Here is a 20,028-nt window from a genome sequence, read left to right on the forward strand (position 1 = left end):
CTTGCTTTTTCAGAAGTTATTGTGACTTGTCACTCCAAATCTTACTCCTTTGCTTAAAAAAATAGCTATTTTGTATCTTTGCCTAAAATACCGTAACAAATCCAGATAAACATGGATACTAACAAAATTGAATTTTAGACTTTAAACTGCCCCATTTATAAGAATACTTTTTTGGAATCTAGTCAAATTCACTAAAACTTTATCTTGCATTAGTGTTTTCGAAAACACCTAATTAAAATTCAGGGGTATCATTAACAAAATTTCATTGAGCCTGAAGAAGGTTCTTGGATTTCTGCCCAACATTAAAATTCTAAATATGAAGAAGAGACCTTGAACTTTTACTGGACTTTAGAAGTAAGTGAAAGTTACTACACTTAAGTTAGAAAACTGTTACTGCTTATTTTTGTTTTCCTACTTAGAGGGTTGACTCCTTTTTTTCTTCTTTTGAGATGGAGTCTTGCTTTGTCGCCCAGGCTGGAGTGCAGTGGTGCAGCCTCCGCCTCCTGGGTTCAAGCGATTCTCCTGCCTCAGCCTCCCGAGTAGCTAGAACTACAGGTGTGGGCCACCACGCCCATCTAATTTTTTATTTTTAGTAGAGTCGGGGTTTCACTATGTTGGCCAGGATGGTCTCATCTCCTGACCTCGTGATCCGCCCACCTTGGCCTCCCAAAGTGCTGGGATTTCAGGTGTGAGCCACAGCGCCCAGCAGAGGGTTGACTCTTAATCCTAATCCTGACATTTGTGTCAGATTTATGGAATAATGTGATTTACAGATCATAAAGAGACATTATGAGATCATCCTTTTTACTCTCAGTTAGACTTCAGCCTAGTAACATTCTCAGCTACTTAATCTCTGCTTTGTACCAGTGAGTTATGTTTTGATAATGGCCTCCCTGGTTGAGTTAAAGTGGACTTGGAGATGACCATATAGTAGTTGCAGCTTTTAGAGCACCACACATTATTAAATCTTGAATCAGTTTTCATAGGGAGAAGCCAATTTTTTCTTTTAATTTTAGTTACTTTCATTATTGACCTTGCCTGCTGTTTTGGCTGCCATTTGAGAAAAGGTCAACTAGAAGAGGGTCACCAGAATGACACCTTAATAAAAGAAACAGAGAATGGAGAGTTTGAGATTGGGTATTCTCTTTCAGTGCAGTAACAGTCTTATGAATCTGAGTAAGTCACAACTTCCCTTTGGTGCCATTTACCCTGCTATAACATGTCTGTTTATTCAGAGTCAGTTTTAAGAAAGGAAGATAGGCCGGGTGCGGTGGCTCATGCCTGTAATCCAGGACTTTGGGAGGCCGAGGCAGGCGGATCACGAGGTCAGGAGATCGAGACCATCCTGGCTAACATGGTGAAACTCCGTCTCTCTAAAAATACAAAAAATTAGGCGGGTGTGGCAGCGTGCGCCTGTAGTCCCAGCTACTCGGGAGGCTGAGGCAGGAGAATGGCGTGAACCCGGGAGGTGGAGCTTGCAGTGAGCCAAGATCGCGCCACTGCACTCCAGCCTGGGCGACAGAGCAAGACTCCGTCTCAAAAAAACAAACAAACAAAAAAGGAAGATATTGGCCAGGCGTGGTGGCTCATGCCTGTAATCCCAGCACTTTGGGAGGCTGAGGCGGGCGGAACACGAGGTCAGGAGATTGAGACCATCCTGGCCAACATGGTGAAACCCTGTCTCTACTAAAAATACAAAAATTAGCCAGGCCTGGTGGCGCGCACCTGTAGTCCCAGCTACTCGGGAGGCTGAGGCAGTAGAATCACTTGAACCCAGGAGGTGGAGGTTGCAGTGAGCTGAGATCGTGCCATTACACTCCAGCCTGGGTGACAGAGCGAGACTCTGTCTCAAAAAAAAAAAAAAAAAAAAAGGAAGCTATTTGAGCTAGCATCAAATAATTAGTGCACAGTACACATGGAAGAACTATCCTTTTAATCAAACGGGCATTTTTATTACTATTTGGCTTTGTTCTGGTCTTAACCTTTCCCTCAATTGTGAATCGCTAATGACAACTTTTATACAGATGTCATGATTTCCATGGTTTAAACAAATGTAAAATTAGTTTAAAATGCCAGAATGAAATGGATACTCTCACAAATTTGCTCATTGCTATACTAAAGTGCCTTGATAAAGAATTTTACAATAAAATCCTGTTAATAAGACTGCTGATTCAGAGATGACCATAATTCACACGTGATCGAGACTTAAAGCTTATTGTTTTACTTGTGAAAAAAGTTTAAGCAGAATGTTTAACTTTTAAAAACAAATAAATGATATTGAAAGCAACGGTTTACATTAACTTACGTGCTAATGTCTCTCATTCAGCTTTAGCAGGTCCTCAAGGACCTTTCTTAATACTTTTTTGGTTAACAAAAGTATAAATGGAAACTTGAAGAGAACCTAAGAAGAGAAATGAAAATGATTGAGGGAATATAGACCCCAAAACACACAAACACACACACACAAGCACGTTTAAGATAGGGGTTGAAAAGACATACTGAGGAGGAATTTGAACTTTATTTTTGTTTTCACCTTTGAGACAGGGTCTCACTATGTTGCCCAGGCTAGAGTGCAGTCATAGCTTGCTGCAGCCTCAAACTCCCAGGCTCACATGATCCTCCTGCCTCGGCGTCTCAAGTGGCTACAGGCACACACCACTATGCTGGCTATTTTTTTTTTCTTTTTTGTTTTTGTAGAGACAAGGGTCGCCCTTTGTTGACAGGGGTGGTTTTTGAACTCCTGGGCTCAAGGGGTCCTCCTGCCTTGGCCTCCCATTGTTGGGATTACAGGCGTGAGCCACCTTGCCAAGCCACGTTTATTTTTAAAAACAGGATAAATATATTCTTGTCCAGCCAATCCCAGAATCAAGTACAGTAGCTTGAAATAGATGAAATAATTTTAGAATGTATTGTTTTATTTATAGAGCTGATAGATAAATGAAACAGTATAAAGGGTAAATATTTGCTGTTTAACAGACAACCTCAAAACTTAGCTTAAAAAAAACAATTATTTTTCCCCTCAAATCTGATGGTTTTTCTGCTTCACTTGGTATTGGCTGAGGTGTGGGAAAGACCTTCACTTCTCCTCTATATGGGCCTTTCTCTACCTGGCTGCTTGGATTTCCTTAAAGTGTGGTGGCAAGGTTCTAAGAAGGGACATTCCAGGAGACAGGAGGTAGAGACTGCCAGTCTTCTAAATCCTAGATTTGGAAGTCCAAGAATGTCACTGTGGGTCAAAGCCAGTCAAGGCCAACTACAGAGGGAGGAGAAATAATGTCTACCTATTGATAGGAAGGGTGGCGTGCATAAACAAGGAAGGGGGAATTGCTGGGGGCCACCTTTTGAGACTTGCTACCGTAGGTGCTATGCTAGTTGGATGTTAAGGCTAAAAATAAAAATGGTATCGGCCAAGTTTGTGGGTCATAATGCTAGGAATGTTTAGGAGGCATCTCTTTTTTTGAGGTTAACTTCGGAAGGCACTAACATGATCTCCTGCGTGACTTCCCTTAATGATGTCACTGTTGACATAATACTGGGTGAATTAATGTGATTAAGTAAACTTGCTTACTTACTTCAGGAAACAGAGGTATCTAAACAGATTACATTTTAAAATAAATTGTCAGATGTTTCACTGTAATGGAATTTTCTTTACATCAGTGAAATTGATTACCAGGTAGTGGGATGAACATCTGAAACTAGTTCTTAGTTTAAGTTGTCTGAGTTTTTGTGTATACTTTACCTATTCCCAGTTTAAATTGGCTTTCAAACAGTTTGTTTTCTGGGTACTCTTATAGGTGTTGGGGTATGAAATTAGTGGTAATTCTTTTTGCCTATTTTCTTTTTTTTTGTCTGAGATACCCTGAGTCTCGCTCTGTTGCCCAGACTGGAGTGCAGTGGCACAATTTCGGTTCACTGCAACCTCCGCCTCCTGGGTTCAAATGATTCTCCTGCCTCAGCCTCCTAAGTAGCTGGAATTACAGGCGTGTACCACCTTGCCTGGCTAATTTTGTTGTATTTTTTTTTTTTTGAGATGGAGTTTTGGTCTTGTTGCCCAGGCTGGAGTGCAATGGTGCAAACTCAGTTCACTGCAACCTCTGCTTCTGAGGTTCAAGTGATTCTCCTTCCTCAGCCTCCCCTGTAGCTGGGATTACAGGCATGCACCACCACACCCAGCTAATTTTGTATTTTTGGTAGAGACAGGGCTTTTCCATGTTGGTCAGGCTGGTCTCGAACTCCCAACCTCAGGTGATCTGCCCGCCTTGGCCTCCCAAAGTGCTGAGATTACAGGCGTGAGCTGCCGTGTCCGGCCTCTTTTTGCTAATTTTCTAAATTTATGTTTATAGTAGATTTTCATAAATTATCAAAAGTGAATTATTAGATGTGGAGTAAAAATTCAACTTTGAGTAGTTTTAGAAATTATTTATTGCTAAATTAGAAAATAAACTTTCAAAAGAGATCTCTTTTTTTTAAAAAAACTTAATTGAGACAGGGTCTCACTCTGTCACCCAGGCTGGAGTACAGTGGTGCAACCTTGGCTCACTGCAGCCCCTACCTCCTGGGTTCAAGCAATTCTTGTGCCTCAGCCTCCCAGGTAGCTGGGAATACAGGCATGTGCCACCACGCCCAGCTAAATTTTGTGTTTTTAGTAGAGACAGGGTTTCACCGTGTTGCCCGGGCTGGTCTCGAACTCCTGACTTCAAGTGATCCGCCCACCTTGGCCTCCCAAAGTGCTGGGATTACAGGCGTGAGTCACTATGCCTGGCCTAGAGATGGGATCTGCTTTTTTTTTTTTTTTTTTTTTGAGATGGAGTCTTGCTCTGTCACCCAGGCTGGAGTGCAATGGCACGATCTCAACTCACTGCAACCTCCGCTTCCCAGGTTCAGGCAATTCTCCTGTCTCAGCCTCCTAAGTAGCTGGGATTACAGGCACCTGCCATCATCCCTGACTAATTTTTGTATTTTTGTAGACGGGGTTTCACCATGTTGGCCAGGCTATTCTTGAACTCCTGACCTCAGGTGATCCGACCGCCTCGGCCTCCCAAAGTGCTGGGATTATAGGCATTAGCTACCGCGTCTGGCCTCTAGAGATGGGATCTTGCTTGCTCTGTTGCCAGGTTGGCCTTGAACTCAGGCTAGGGTTAAGTGATCTTTGTGCCTCGGCCTCTCCAGTAGCTGGGACTACAGGTGCGTGCCACCACTCGCAGCCTAAAATACTTTTTAAATCTCACCTACTTTCTAGCAGTATTTTATTTTATTTGGGCGCAGCTCTGCCATCAGTAGGCTGAGCTCCCTGCAGCCTCAAACTCCTGGGCTGAAGCAATGCCTCTGCCTCAGCCTCCTGAGTAGCTGGGACTACAGGTTTGTGCCACCACACCTGGCTATATTTTTATTTTTTTGTAGAGATGGGGTCTTGCTGTGTTGCCCAGGCTGGTCTGGAACTCCTGGCCTCAAGTTATTCTCCTGCATCAGCCTTCCAAATTGCTGGGATTACAGGCTTGAGCCACCATGCCCAGCTTTAGCAATTTTTTTTTTTTGAGACGGAGTCTCGCTCTATTGCCCAAGCTGGAGTGCAGTGGTGCGATCTCAGCTCACTGCAACCTCAGCTTCCTGGGTTCAAACAGTTCTCCTGCCTCAGCCTCCCAAATAGCTGGGATTACAGGCACGTGTCACCACACCTGGCTAATTTTTTGTATTTTTAGTAGAGATGGGGTTTCACCGTGTTAGCCAGGATGGTCTCGATCTCCTGACCTTGTGATCCAACCGCCTCAGCCTCCCTAAGTGCTGGGATTACAGGCATGTGCCACCGCACCTGGCCAGCAATATTTTAATATAGCACAGAAGTCCTTTCTAAATGTGTATAGTGAGAATCCATTGAGGATGAAATAGAAAATATTTACCAAAGTTTAACAACTTAGTCAATAAAAATAAAACTTTCTCTTTCCGTAATAAGTCAATCTCAGCATTCTAAAATAGGCAATGGAGGGGGGAAGAAATCTCTATGGGAAGGGTCCACTGGATCTTAACAGTTTCAACTAGTGTTCCACAATATTTCTGCTGTACTTGGGGAGAATTTCTGGATAATTAGAATAGTCTGAGGCTTATTCCTTTTAGTTTCCCATAGCCTGATTGAGATAGAGCTATAAGACCAGCTATAACATTGTACAGAAGACTCAGAGATAAACAAGTGAAAAAGATAACTGAGATTAATGTTGAACTAAGAATATGATTGTTCTCTGAGGCACTACCTGCTAGTTCCTGGATTACCTTTATATGTGGCCAAGGTGGGGATTGGGAAGCAAGGGAGCAAAAGCCCTAGAGCTAAGGGAGAGAGAATTTCTGCCTGCCTAAGATGAACCTTCTGAGTTGGATATTTTTTTTTCTTCCCCCTTGAGACGGAGTCTCACTCTGTCGCCAGACTGGAGTGCAGTGGCATGATCTCAGCTCACTGCAACCCCCGACTCCCTGGTTCAAATGATTTTCCTGCCTCAGCCTCCCGAGTAGCTGGGATTACAGGCACGTACCACCACACCCAGCTCATTTTTGTGTTTTTAGTAGGGATGGGGTTTCACCATGTTGGCCAGGACAGTCTCGATCTCCTCCTTGTGATTCGCCCGCCTTGGCCTCCCAAAGTGCTGGGATTACAGCTGTGAGCCACCGTGCCCGGCCTTGAGTTGGAATTTCTTTCTAAAGTCTTGCTCCTTTCTGTAGTTTGGCTTTCCTTTCAGGGTATCTGATTTTGCCTTCCTGCTCCTAGGCTTGTGACCTGACCTGATGCTGTCAATTACAGGAGAATGCAGAGGTGCAAGAAATTTTTTTTTTTTTGAGATGGAGTTTCGCTCTTGTTGCCCAGGTTGGGGTGCAATGGCACAATCTCGGCTCACAGCAACCTCCGCCTCCCGGGTTCAAGCTATTCTCCTGCCTCAGCCTCCCGAGTAGCTGGGATTACAGGCATGCGGCACCACACCCAGCTAATTTTGTATTTTTAGTAGAGACGGAGTTTTTCCATGTTGGTCAGGCTGGTCTTGAACTCCCGACCTTAGGTGATCCGCCCGCCTCTGCCTCCCAAAGTGCTGGGATTACAGGTGTGAGCCACCACGCCCGGCCAGAAGAAATTTTTTGTGTTTTGTTAATACAGTCAGCCACGAATAGCTAACAGCTAACAGCTGGTCCCTCATATTTGTGGGTTCCATATCTGCTAATTCAACCATTGATTGAAAATATTCAGAAAAAGAGACCACAATAAAAAATAACAATATAACAATAAAAGTGGGAATTAAAAACAATACGTATAACAACTACTTACATAACATTTACATTGCATTATTATATGTAATCTAGAGATGATTTGAAATATATGGGAGGATGTGTGTAGGTTATGTGCCGTTTAAGGCACTATAAGAGACTTTTGAGTATCTGTGGATTTTGGTATCCGATGGGAGGATCCTGGAACCAGTTCCCTGCAGCTATGGAGGTTTGACTATAATTATTTAGCATGTACTATTTGCTGTTCTAAATATACTGTTCTAAGCTCTTTATATATATTATTTCATTTAATCCTCCCAGTAATCCTGTGAGATAGATTCAGTATTATTATTATCCCCATTTCTCATTTAAGGAAAATTATTCCAGAGAGGTTAAGTAACTTGCTCAAAGTCATGCTAGCAGGTATCCTGAGATTAAATCCAGGCAGTCTGACTTGAGAGCCTTACTTACGTGCAGTATACTTCCTCTTTGAAGAGCAGGAAAACTGTGGGATATGGTGGCATGTTTCCTTAATATCTGTTAAGGCACACTTTGGTAAATGCTAAAATAGAAGCACAAAGTGCTATAGAATTTAAGGGAGGGGAAGTTCGTTTTTGTTTTTGTTTTTGTTTTTTCTTTTTTTTGAGATGGAGTCTTACTCTGTCACCCAGGCTGGAGTGCAGTAGCGCAATCTCAGCTCACTGCCACCTCCACCTCCCGGGTTCAAGTGATTCTCCTGCCTCAGCCTCCCGAGTAGCTGGGACTACAGGTGTGCACCACCACGCCCGGCTAAGTTTTGTATTTTTTAGTAGTGCTGGGATTACAGGTGTGAGCCACTGTGCCTGGCCGGGAAGTTCGTTTTAACTGAAGAGCTCTTTAGCAGCTTTGTAGAAGAAAGCTTCATATTAGATCTTGATGAATAGATAGATTTTGACAGATATCTCTCTGAGGTAGGCAGTCAAGCGGTGGCCAGAGTGGAAGAATTACTGTCCAGATTTACATATAGGTTTCCTGATTATTTAAATTACCGATGAAGTGCAGTAAGACTCTACTGTTGTCACAGTATCATTTCAGTTAGCTATTGGCGTTTAGAATCACAAAATACCAGCATCTTACAGTGATAGGTATTTATTCTCTTGAAATTGTGGGTTTGCTGGGTAGTGGATGATCTAAACTTGGCTTACTCAAAGTCAAAAGCCCAAAGTCAAGCAGGGCAGGGAGTAACTTGCACAATACTATAGTGACAGTAATCTACTGCAGTGATCTAGTACAGTTGATTTAGAGAAGAATGGTAAGATGCTTATTATGACAACTATTGTGCTTTCTTCTTTCTGCTCTCTATTGTTGACACTCTCCTGATAGCACTTTTTCATTTTGGTTGCTGAATAATACCTGTTGATTGGATACTCCTAGAATCATAATGTAATACAGCAGATTTCTTCTCTTCATGTTATGTAGAAAAAAAGCATAAAGAAATAATCAGAATCTTGACTATTCCACAGTGATGCCCTGAAAAGTTCAGCAATATCATGGTGCTATTCTTCTATCTTTGGGACTGATAAGCTTGATGTCACTGGAATGGCATTTGTAACAGAATTTGAACTGTAACAGAGTTTACATCAAGGTCATACATAATAACCCAACAACTCCTTTGTTAACAGTTTTAACAGCTTTCCATCTCTTCGCTGCACCTAAACTTAAGGTTGCAAAGATCAGGTGCTGATATATTTAGATGTCTGGAAAACTTTCATGCTTTCACTGAAAAGTCATAGAGACAGATATCCAGGAATTATAGCATGTGGATAAATATTTTTGTAGCACAGATTCATAAATCCTTGTATGCAGGAAGTACTACACCAAACTGTTAATGTGGTTATTTGTGAGTTGCTGAATTATGGGTAATATTTCAAAATATTTAATGGTATTCTGAAAATATACTAGTAAATACACAGAAAAGCATTATTTAGGTGATATTTCTTTTAATTCTTTTTTTTTTTTTTTTGTATCCCCGGAGCGAGTGCACCGTTCCTGGAGGTACTGCAATACCAGGTCGATGCATGGAGTGGACGGAGCAAGCTCCTATTCCATCTCCCTGCTCCAAAAATCTATTTAATATATTGTCCTCAGATAGAGGACATATCAGATACTAAACTGATGAGAACAGATACTACACTTGATCTTAGCCAAAAGGCCGAGAAGTGATTTTAATTCTTTTTCTTTTTTTCTTTTTAAAATTTTTTTATTTTTATTTTTTTTTTAAGATGGAGTTTCGCTCTTGGTGCCCAGGCTGGAATACAATGGCGCGATCTCGGCTCACCGCAACCTCCACCTCCCGGGTTCAAGTGATTCTCCTGCCTTAGCTTCCTGAGTAGCTGGGATTACAGGCATGCACCACCACACCCAGCTAATTTTGCAGTTTTAGTAGAGATGGGGTTTCTCCATGTTGGCCAGGCTGGTCTTGAACTCCGGATCTCAGGTGATCTGCCCGCCTCAGCCTTCCAAAGTGCTGGGATTACTGGCGTGAGCCACCGCGCTTGGCCCTTTTTTTTTTTAATTTTTTGAGACAGTCTCACTCACTCTGTCACCCAGGCTGGGTGATATTTCTTTTCTTTAATTCTTTTTCTTTTTAAAAATTTTTTATTTTTATTTTTATTTTTTTTGAGACGAAGTTTCGCTCTTGTTGCACAGGCTGGAGTGCAGTGGTGCAGTCTCAGCTCACTGCAACCTCTGCCTTCCGGGTTCAAGCAATTCTCCTGCCTCAGCTTCCTGAGTAGCTGGGACTACAGGTGTGCATCACCACACTCAGCTAATTTTTGTGATTTTTATTAGAGACAGGGTTTCACCATGTTGGCCAGGCTGGTCTTATACTCCTGAACTTAAGTGATCCACCTGTCTTGGCCTCCCAAAGTGCTGGGATTATAGGCATGAGCCACCATGCCTAGACTTCTTTCAATTCTTTTATGTTTTACGGATTTTCTACAGTGAATATATATCATAATCGGAAAAAGTAAAATTTAGTATATTGAGTATATGCATTTATAAAACAAAATGATCATGGACTACATTGTAGCAAGTGTACTGGCCAGTGGGCTGACAGTGGCTGCTTAAACGACTCCTTACTCTGAGCTCCAGTTTTCTTAACCAGAAAATCAGCTATTGTTAATTTTACCTACTTAGGGTCTCTCTCTATTTTTCCTTTCAGTTCATGTTAATTTCTAAATTGCCATGTATAAGTAAGGGGTTGTCAATTTACACCATAAAACCCCTTTATGTATCCAAGGTTTTCATAGGAAATTTAGGACTGTATGATCCTAAATTGTGCTGGAGTACCACATTTTCTGTTAAGTAGTACTTGGCAATAAAGTATAGGAAAAAAAAATCAGTGGGTTGACAAAGAGAGGTCATGATAGTGTACCTGTAATGTAATTTGATAAAAAATGTGAGCCTGAACTGATTGCAAAGCATTGTTACATATAGGGGAAGACATTATGGGGGCAGAGGGGGGTGAAGATACAAAGTTGAATAAAACTTCTCTAGAGCTTCACAATCTAATAAGATAGGCATTTATAAATATCTCTTAAGGCGCACTTTGTTAAGTGCTAAAATAGTGGCACAAAGAGCTATAGAATTTAAGAGAGGCGACAGGAAAAAAAAGTAAATTGAGTTAAAGGAAGGAGAAATTAGTTTTAATGAGAGATTTTTTAGAAGCTTTAAAGAAGAAAGTTTTGTATTGGACCTTGAAGAGTAGATAGATTTTGACAGACTTGTGTCTGAGGTGGGCAATTCCAAGAATAGGAAGTAACTTGGGTAAAGGCCAGGAGATCAGAAGTTGGGCAGGTGCAGTGAGTTATAGGTGGGTAGATAGATATAATTTGAGTATAGCAGATAAGGAAAATATAAATTGGAGGCCCAGGGAGTTTGGACTTAATCTAGTTATATATATATATATATATATATTTTTACATTTATATATATATTTATATATATTAATATATATTTATATATATTTATGTATATTAATATATATTTATATATTAATATATATTTATATATATTTATATATATTTATATATATTAATATATATTTATATATATTTATATATATTTATATATATTTATATATATATTTATATAAATATATATTTATATATTTATATATATTAATATATATATTTATATATATATTTATATTTATATATTTATATATATAAATATATATATATATAAATATAAATATATATATATATATTTTTTTCGAGCTAGAGTCTCGCTCTGTCGCCCAGGCTGGAGTGCAGTGGCGCGATCTTGGCTCACTGCATCGTCTGCCTCCCAGGTTCAAGCCATTCTCCTACCTCAGCCTCCCCAGTGGCTGGGACTACATGCGCGCACCACCACGCCAGCTAATTTTTGTATTTTTAGTAGAGACAAGGTTTCGCCATGTTGGCCAGGATGGTCTCTATCTCTTGACCTTGTGATCTGCCTGCCTCGGCCTCCCAAAGTGCTGGGATTACAGGCGTGAGCCACTCACTGCGCCTGGCCTAGGTCTATATTTAAGAAGAATGTTCTAGTGTACTTTATGTATGTGTTAATGTGAGCTTTTTTACTAAAGTAAAATATATATACAAATAGTTACATATTTTTAATATGTACAAATAATTATATATAGCTCAGTGAGTTTTTACCTAGTGAACACATCTTCGTAACCATTATCTAGATCAGGAATAGAACTTTGCCAGCACTCCACAAGTTGCCTTCATGCTCCCTTTAGTTACTAACTCCCTAATCCCAAGGGAAACCACTCTCTTATAATATCTGTAGATTAGTTTTACTGTTATTGGTATGTAAGCTCATCTAAATGGAATCATTCCAGGGTGTATTCTTTGGTGACTGGTATCTTTTGTCCCACATTGTTCGTAAGATGATTCATTCAGGTTGTTGTGGGAGGTGTGGTGTGTTTATTCTTGTTAATGTATTCCACTGTGATTAATCATTCAGATTAGTCATTCTATTTTTGATGGACACTTGGGTTATTTCCAGTTTTGGGCTACTTTAAATTGTGCTATTATAAATAATCTTGTACAGTTTTTCCTTAAACATATGTACATATTTCTGTTGGGTAGGTACCTGAGAATGGAATCGCTGGGTCACAGGGTATGAAAATGTTTAGCTTTATGCTATGGTTTGAATATAGCTTGTTTGGCCCTGCCAAGTCTCATGTTGAAATTTGATCTCCAGTGTTGGAGGTGGGGCCTGGTGGGAGGTGTTTGGATTATGGAGGTGCGTTCCTCATGAAGGGCTTGGTGCCATCCTTTTGGAAATAAGTGAGTTCTCGCTCCATTAGTTCCTGCCAGAGTTGGTAGTTTAAGAGTCTGGCACCTCCCTTTTCTCTCTTTTGGTTTCTCTCTTGGCGTGTGATTTCTGCACATGCAGCTCCTCTTCGCCCTCCACCGTGAGTGGAAGCCGCTTGAGACTCTTACCAGGAGCAGATGCTAGCACCATGCTTCTTGTACAGCCTGCAGAACTGTGAGCCAAATAAACCTTTTTTTATTATGAATTACCCACCCTCAGGTATTCCATTATAGCAACGTAAATGGACTAAGACACTTTAGTAGAACCTATGCAACTGTTTTTCTTTTTTTTTTTTTTTTTTTTTTTTTTTTTTTTAGAGACAGGGTCTCACTCTGTTGCCCAGGCCGGAGTGCAGTGGCATGATCATGGGTCACTGCACCCTTGAACTCCTGGGTTCAAGCTGTCTTCCCATTTTAGCCTCCTGAGTAACTAGGACTACAGGCATGTGCCACCACAGTCAGCCAATGTTTTTCATTTTATACTTTCTTTAGCAGTGTATGGGAGTCCCAGTTGCTGAACATTCTTGCAGTGCTCACTTAATATCGTCTTTTTTGAGGCCGGGTATAGTGGCTCATGCCTGTAATCCCAGCACTTTGGGAGGCTGGGGCAGGTAGATCGCTTGAGGCCAGGAGTTCGAGTCTAGCCTGGCTAACGTGGTGAAACCTCGCTTCTACTAAAGGTACAAAAGTTAGCTGGATGTGGTGGCGGGCACCTGTAATCCCAGCTACTCAGGAGGCTGACGCACGAGAATCGCTTGAACCTGGGAGGCGGAGGTTGCAGTGAGCTGAGATGGTACTACTGGACTCCAGCTTTGGCGACAGAGCGAGACTCCATCTTAAATAATAATAATAATAACATCGTCTTTTTCGTTGTTGCCACTGTAGTGGATGATGGTACTATCCCACCGTTTTAATTTGTGTTTCCTTAATGACTACTGTAAACAAGCACCTTTTTAGGTTTGTTGACTGTTTAGACATAGTCTTTTGTTGAAGTGTTTATTCAAGTCTTGGCCTTTTTTCCCCTATTGGAGTATTATTATTTTTTTTTTTTTAAAGAGATGGGTTCTTGCCCTCTTGTCCAGGCTCTCGAGTACACTGGTGTGATCATAGCTCACTGCAGCCTCCAACTCCTGGGCTCAAACATCCTCCCACCTGGGCCTCCCAAAGTGCTGAGAGGCATGAGCCTCATTATTTTTTGTGTGCCAGGACTCCTTATTTATTTTGATGCTTGAATTGTTCCCTATTTGGCCAGTGGGAAGTGCATTCAAACTGCTTCCTCTGTTTTTTGGTGTCATTGAGCATTTTCTTGTTTACTGAAAGATACTCCAGGCTCTTCTTATACTTTTTTTGCCCTAGCCCTGGAATTAGTGATTTCTCTGAGAAGCTCTTTTAGAAGTTTCTTTTAGTAGAGAATGACATGTAGAAGTCCAGATCTGGGTGTTAAGCGTGCTCATTGCTATTGGGGTGTCACTGCTCACAAGCCATCATACTGGACACACCACACACACAGGTGCACATTGCACATTTACGTTGTTATTTTATCTTACATATTATTTAAAACCATGAGTTCACACTGATATCCCCAATTCCAGTCTAATACCACAGGGTTCGTTCGATAATTTCATAATTGTAACTCCATTTTCTGACAGTGAGTAACTTGGCTTTCATTATCCTCAAAATATTTTCTTAGTCAATCAGCCCCTTTCTATGTGACCACTCTCATGTTGCTGCTGTTCCCCACACCCACTATATAGATGCCGTCCTTGACTTACTTAGGCTCCAAAACCCCATGTCAGATTGCTGGCCTACACCCTTCCATGAACACCCTTGTCCGATACCTGTGCTAGATTGCTTTTCACATCACATTTGGACTTCAACACTCTGTGCAGGGCTGCCATGTTACCTGCCATATTTCTGTATGGACATATCCCTTATCCTGTTTTTTTGTTTGTTTTGAGACAAGGTCTCACTCTTTTGCCCAGGCTGCAGTGCAGTGGCACAATCACAGCTCACAGCAGCCTCACTCAACCTCCTGGGCTCAGGTGATCCTCCTGCCTCAGTCTCCTGAGCATCTGGGACTACAGGTGCTTGCCACCACGCCTGGCTAATTTTTTGTAGAGATGGGGTTTCCCCATGTTGCCCTGGCTGGTCTCAAACTCCTGGACTCAAGTGATCCTCTGGCCTCGGCCTCCCAAAGTGCTGGTATTACAGGTGTGAGCCATCGGGCCCGCCCCTTCTTCCTTATCCTGATGGTACTCTGTCATCCTGTACTAAGACCTCTGCTGATCCTGCAGATGTCTGTTTTGCCTGGCCCTGACAAAATGAGTAGAGGTTTATTGTAGTCAAAATGTAGTCAAGATTTTCAATTTTTAAATTTATGGTTAGCACTTTTTCTCTTTGCTTATCCCAAGATCATACAGATCCTTCCCTCCCTCCCTCCCTCCCTTTCTCCCATCTAGGCTCACTGCAGCCTTGACCTCCTGGGCTCAAGCGATCCTCCCACCTCAACTTCCCCGTAGCTGGGACTACAGGCATGTACCACCAAACATCGGCTAATTTTTTTGCATTTTTAGTGGAGATGAGGTTTCTTCATGTTGTCCAGGCTGGTCTCAAGCTCCTGGGCTCAAGTGATTCACCTGCCTCTGCCTCCCCAAGTGCTGGGATGCTGGGGTTACAGGTGTGCACCACTTCACTGGGCCAAGATGTTGATTTTATTTATCTGCACACACAGACACACATACATATGTACCTATATACATACACACACATATAAGCTTCATTTAAACATTTTTTATTGTGGTAAAATACATGTAAAATTTACCATTTTAACTATTTAAAATGTATAGTTAAGTAGTGTTAAGTATATTCACACTGTTTTGCATATATAATCTTTAGAACTTTTTTGTCTTGCAAAACTGAAACTCTATACCCATTAGACAAACTATCGATGTCTCCCTTATCCCAGCCACTGGCAACCACTATTCTTTTTTTTTTGTTTGTTTGGTGTTTTTTTTTTCCCCCAGAGACGGAGTCTTGCTCTGTTGCCCAGACTGGAGTGCAATGAATGGCACCATCTTGGCTCACTGCAGACTCCGCCAAGCAATTCTCCTGCCTCAGCCTCCTGAGTAGCTGGGACTACAGGTGTGTGCCACCATGCCAGCTAATTTTTGTATTTTTAGTAGAGACGAAGTTCACCATGTTGGCCAGGCTGGTCTTGAACTCCTGATCTCAGGTGATCCGCCCGCCTCGGCCTCCCAAAGTGCTGGGATTACAGGCATGAGCCACTGAGCCCAGCCTTCTATTTTTTTTCCTATGAATTTGATTCCTCTAGATACCTCATTTAAGTAGAATCATACAGTGTTTGCCTTTTTGTGACTAGCTTATTTTACTTGATGTCCTCAGGTTTCATCCATGTTCTTCCTTTTTTAAGGCTGAATAACATTTAATTGTATGTATATACCACATTTTATTTGTTGTCAATGGACACTTGGGAAGCTTGTACGTTTTGACCTTTGTGAATAATGCTGCTATTTGTATATGTTACAAGTACCTCTTCAAGTCCGTGAGAAGTTTTATTTACCATTTGCATTTAGCTCTGCAATCCATCTGGAATTAATTTTTGCATATGGTGTGAGGTAGACGTCAGCATTCTTTTTTTTTTTCTTTCTCCATGCCAGACAGGTAATGTGCCTATGTAACAAGGTTTGAGGGAGGCACACCTCACACATGAGGCTGAAAACCCAATCGTCATGCTTACAAACTACAAAAGGATCAGAATTCTTTTTTTCCTTTTCTTTCTATAGCCAGCTTATTCAGCACTATTTATTGAAAAGATTGTTCTTTTTCTATTGCAGGGTCATTTTTGTCATATTAATGTCTATATATGTATGTAGGCCTGCTTTTGGGATTTTCTCAGTAGCTCCATTGGTCTATTCTTGTGCCAATACCACACTGTCTTAATTTCTATATTTTTATATAATAACATTTCTTGATATCTGATAGTATATGCCCCTCAGCTTCCCCTTCCCCCAAGATTGCATTGGCTATCTTGGCCTTTTGCGTTTTCTTTTTCTTTTTCTTTTTCTTTTTTTTTTTAAATGGAGTTTCGCTCTTTCACTCAGGCTGCAGTGCAGTGGCGCAATCTTGGCTCACTGCAACATCTGCCTCCTGGGTTCAAGTGATTCTCCTGCCTCAGCCTCGAGTAGCTGGGATTACAGGCACACACCACCACGCCCGGCTAATTTTTGTATTTTTAGTAGAGACGGGGTTTCACCATGTTGGTCAGGCTGGTCTCGAACTCCCTGACCTCGTGATCTGCCCGCCTCGGCCTCCCAAAGTGTTGGGATTACAGGTGTGAGCCACTGTGCCTGGCCTGCATTTTCATGTGTATTAGAATCAGCTAGGCCGGTTGCGGTGGCTCACACCTGTAATCCCAGCACTTTGGGAGGCCGAGGCGGGCGGATCACCTGAGGTCAGGAGTTGGAGAACAGCCTGACCAACATGGTGAAATCCCGTCTCTACTAAAAATACAAAAATTAGCCGGGCATGGTGGGGCATGCCTGTAATCCCAGGTACTCCAGGTTGAGGCAGGAGAATCGCTTGAACCTGGGAGGCAGAGGTTGCAGTGTGTGATCATGCCACTGCACTGCAGCCTGGGCAACAGAGCGAGACTGTTTCCAAAAAAATAAAAAAGAATTAGCTAGTCAGTTTCCACAAAACATACTTTTATGATTTTTATTGGAATTGCATTGAATCCATATATAAGTTTTGGGAGAGCTGAGATCTTAACACTATTGAGTTTCATAGTCCACAAAAATGATGTGTCTTTCCATTTATTTAGGTTTGAATTTCTCTGTTTAGAGGTCTTTATATATCTTTTGTTAAATTATTCCTAGGAAGCAGATGTTTTTAGGTGTTATTTAAAAAATTTAATCCTCTTTGTTGCTGATAGTGCAGAGGCTTTAAATCTGTGGTCTGTGGCCCCTGTACAAGCTATAAACATGTGAATACTTTTTCCTGAAAGATCTGTAATTTACATTTGAATCTGATTCCCACTGGGAGCAATAACAACAAAGATGAAAGAGCACTTAGTGCTTTAGAGTGGATTAGACTAGGGAGGGGTACCAGAGAGGCAGGGAGGCCATTTAAAGTATGTAATAGTCTACGCAAGAGACTGGGCTTGAGCTAGGGCAGTAGGTATGGAAAAGGAGGAAAGACATTCAAGGATATTCTGGAGACAGAATGAAGAAGGTTGCTGAGAGTAGGGTAGAACAAATGAAGAAAAAGAGTAAAATATAGCTGGCATCAGTCATGTTAAGGGCAATTAGAGGGTTATCAAAGCAGTAGGTAGGTAAGGGAAAATGAGTGTTTGGTGGGTGAAGATATTGGGATGGTCCCTAACTATAATAAGGAGACTTTGAATTTAAGATATATTCGTATAAATAAAGATGGGCAGGGCCGGGCGCGGTGGTTCACGCCTGTAATCCCAGCACTTTGGGAGGCCGAGGTGGGCGGATCACGAGGTCAGGAGATCGAGACCATCCTGGCTAACATGATGAAACTCAGTCTTTACTAAAAAATACAAAAAATTAGCCAGGCATGGTGGTGGGCGCCTGTAGTCCCAGCTACTCGGGAGGCTGAGGCAGGAGAATGGCATGAACCAGGGAGGTGGAGTTTGCAATGAGCCGAGATCGTGCCACTGCACTTCAGCCTGGGTGACAGAGCAAGACTCCATCTCCAAAACAAAACAAACAAGACAGAAAAAAAAAAAAAAGATGGTCAAAGTGATAGAATATATGAGACTTGGAAGGTGGAAAGCTGGGTGATGATTAGATGGAGATTATATATTATTCTGTACTTTTTTGTATATTTAAAAGTATCCATGATAAGAGGTTAAGAAAAGTTTATCTGCTGGGCCAAATGGTATTTCCAGTTCTAGATCCCGGAGGAATCGCCACACTGACTTCCACAATGGTTGAACTAGTTTACAGTCCCACCAACAGTGTAAAAGTGTTCCTATTTCTCCACATCCTCTCCAGCACTTGTTGTTTCCTGACTTTTTAATGATTGCCATTCTGACTGGTGTGAGATGGTATCTCATAGTGGTTTTGATTTGCATTTCTCTGATGGCCAGTGATGATGAGCATTTTTTCATGTGTTTATTGCGGCATTATTCACAATAGCAAAGACTTGGAACCAACCCAAATGTCCAACAACGATAGACTGGATTAAGAAAATGTGGCACATATACACCATGGAATACTATGCAGCCATAAAAAATGATGAGTTCATGTCCTTTGTAGGGACATGGATGAAATTGGAAATCATCATTCTCAGTAAACTATCGCAAGAACAAAAAACCAAACACCGCATATTCTCACTCATAGGTGGGAATTGAACAATGAGATCACATGGACACAGGAAGGGGAATATCACACTCTGGGGACTGTTGTGGGGTGGGGGGAGGGGGGAGGGATAGCATTGGGAGATATACCTAATGCTAGATGACGAGTTAGTGGGTGCAGTGCACCAGCATGGCACATGTATACATATGTATGTAACCTGCACAATGTGCACATGTACCCTAAAACTTAAAGTATAATAAATAAAAAAAAAAAAAAGAAAAGTTTATCCGCATAAAAAGTAGGCTGAACTGAAGATTGAAGATCTCTGGACCAGCTGTACTCAAATTGTTATGTGAGAGAAATATCAGGATTTGGTTTTGAGTAATTTCATAACCGCTGTCTATTGGGAACACAGTTTTATCAAGATCTGCCAGTTAAGGAGGCACAAAGCTACAGAGGCCAGGTGCTGCAGGGTGGCTAGGAGTTGGGGAAAAGAAATTGACTAGGTGTCTGTTGGCAACTCAACCAGGTGTGTGGACGCAGGGGAACTTAGCAAGGGAAGGTGATATGATTTGGCTCTGTACCCACCCAAATCTCATGTCTAATTATAATCCCCAGTGTTGGAGGTGGGGCCTGGTAGGAGGTGTTTGGATCATGGGGGCGGATTTCCGCCTTTTGTGCTGTTTTCGTGATAGAGTTCTCACAAGTTCTGGTTGTTTAAAAGTGTGTGGCACCTTCTCTGCCCCCCTCTCTTCCCCCCTTCTCTTCTTCCTGCTTCGGCCATATAAGATGCACCTGCTTCCCCTTTGCCTTCTCCCGTGATTTTAAGTTTCCTGAGGCCTCCCCAGAAGCAGAAACCATCAGAAGCAGAATTCACTACGCTTCTTGTACAGCCTGCAGAACCGTGAGCCAATGAAACCTCTTTTCTTATAAATTACCCAGTCTCAGGCATTTCTTTATAGCAGTGCAAAAATGGACTCATATACAAGGGTATACATTCAGCAGGAGAATAATGGCAGGGAGTCTGGGGCAGATATTCTGGGGAGATCAATAGGCAGAAAGCATCAGTGAATACTAGAAACAGGTAGCAAAGC

The 20,028-nt window shown here is 41.7% G+C and overlaps 1 protein-coding gene, 1 non-coding gene and 1 pseudogene across 9 annotated transcripts in view; 1 reads left to right on the forward strand and 2 right to left on the reverse strand.

The window, feature by feature from the left end:
* BTRC (beta-transducin repeat containing E3 ubiquitin protein ligase) overlaps window positions 1–20,028 on the forward strand; it is a 203,266-nt gene that overhangs the window by 1,543 nt on the left and 181,695 nt on the right. The gene's annotated exons all lie outside the window — the stretch shown is intronic.
* Window positions 9,260–9,445, reverse strand: RNU2-59P (RNA, U2 small nuclear 59, pseudogene; annotated as a pseudogene).
* Window positions 16,262–16,362, reverse strand: LOC124902576 (small nucleolar RNA U13). The gene has a single exon (XR_007062409.1). It is a non-coding gene; the product is annotated as a small nucleolar RNA U13 (small nucleolar RNA).

The sequence above is a fragment of the Homo sapiens genome, chromosome 10 (assembly GCF_000001405.40).
Source record: "Homo sapiens chromosome 10, GRCh38.p14 Primary Assembly".
NCBI classification, from domain to species: Eukaryota; Metazoa; Chordata; class Mammalia; order Primates; family Hominidae; genus Homo; species Homo sapiens.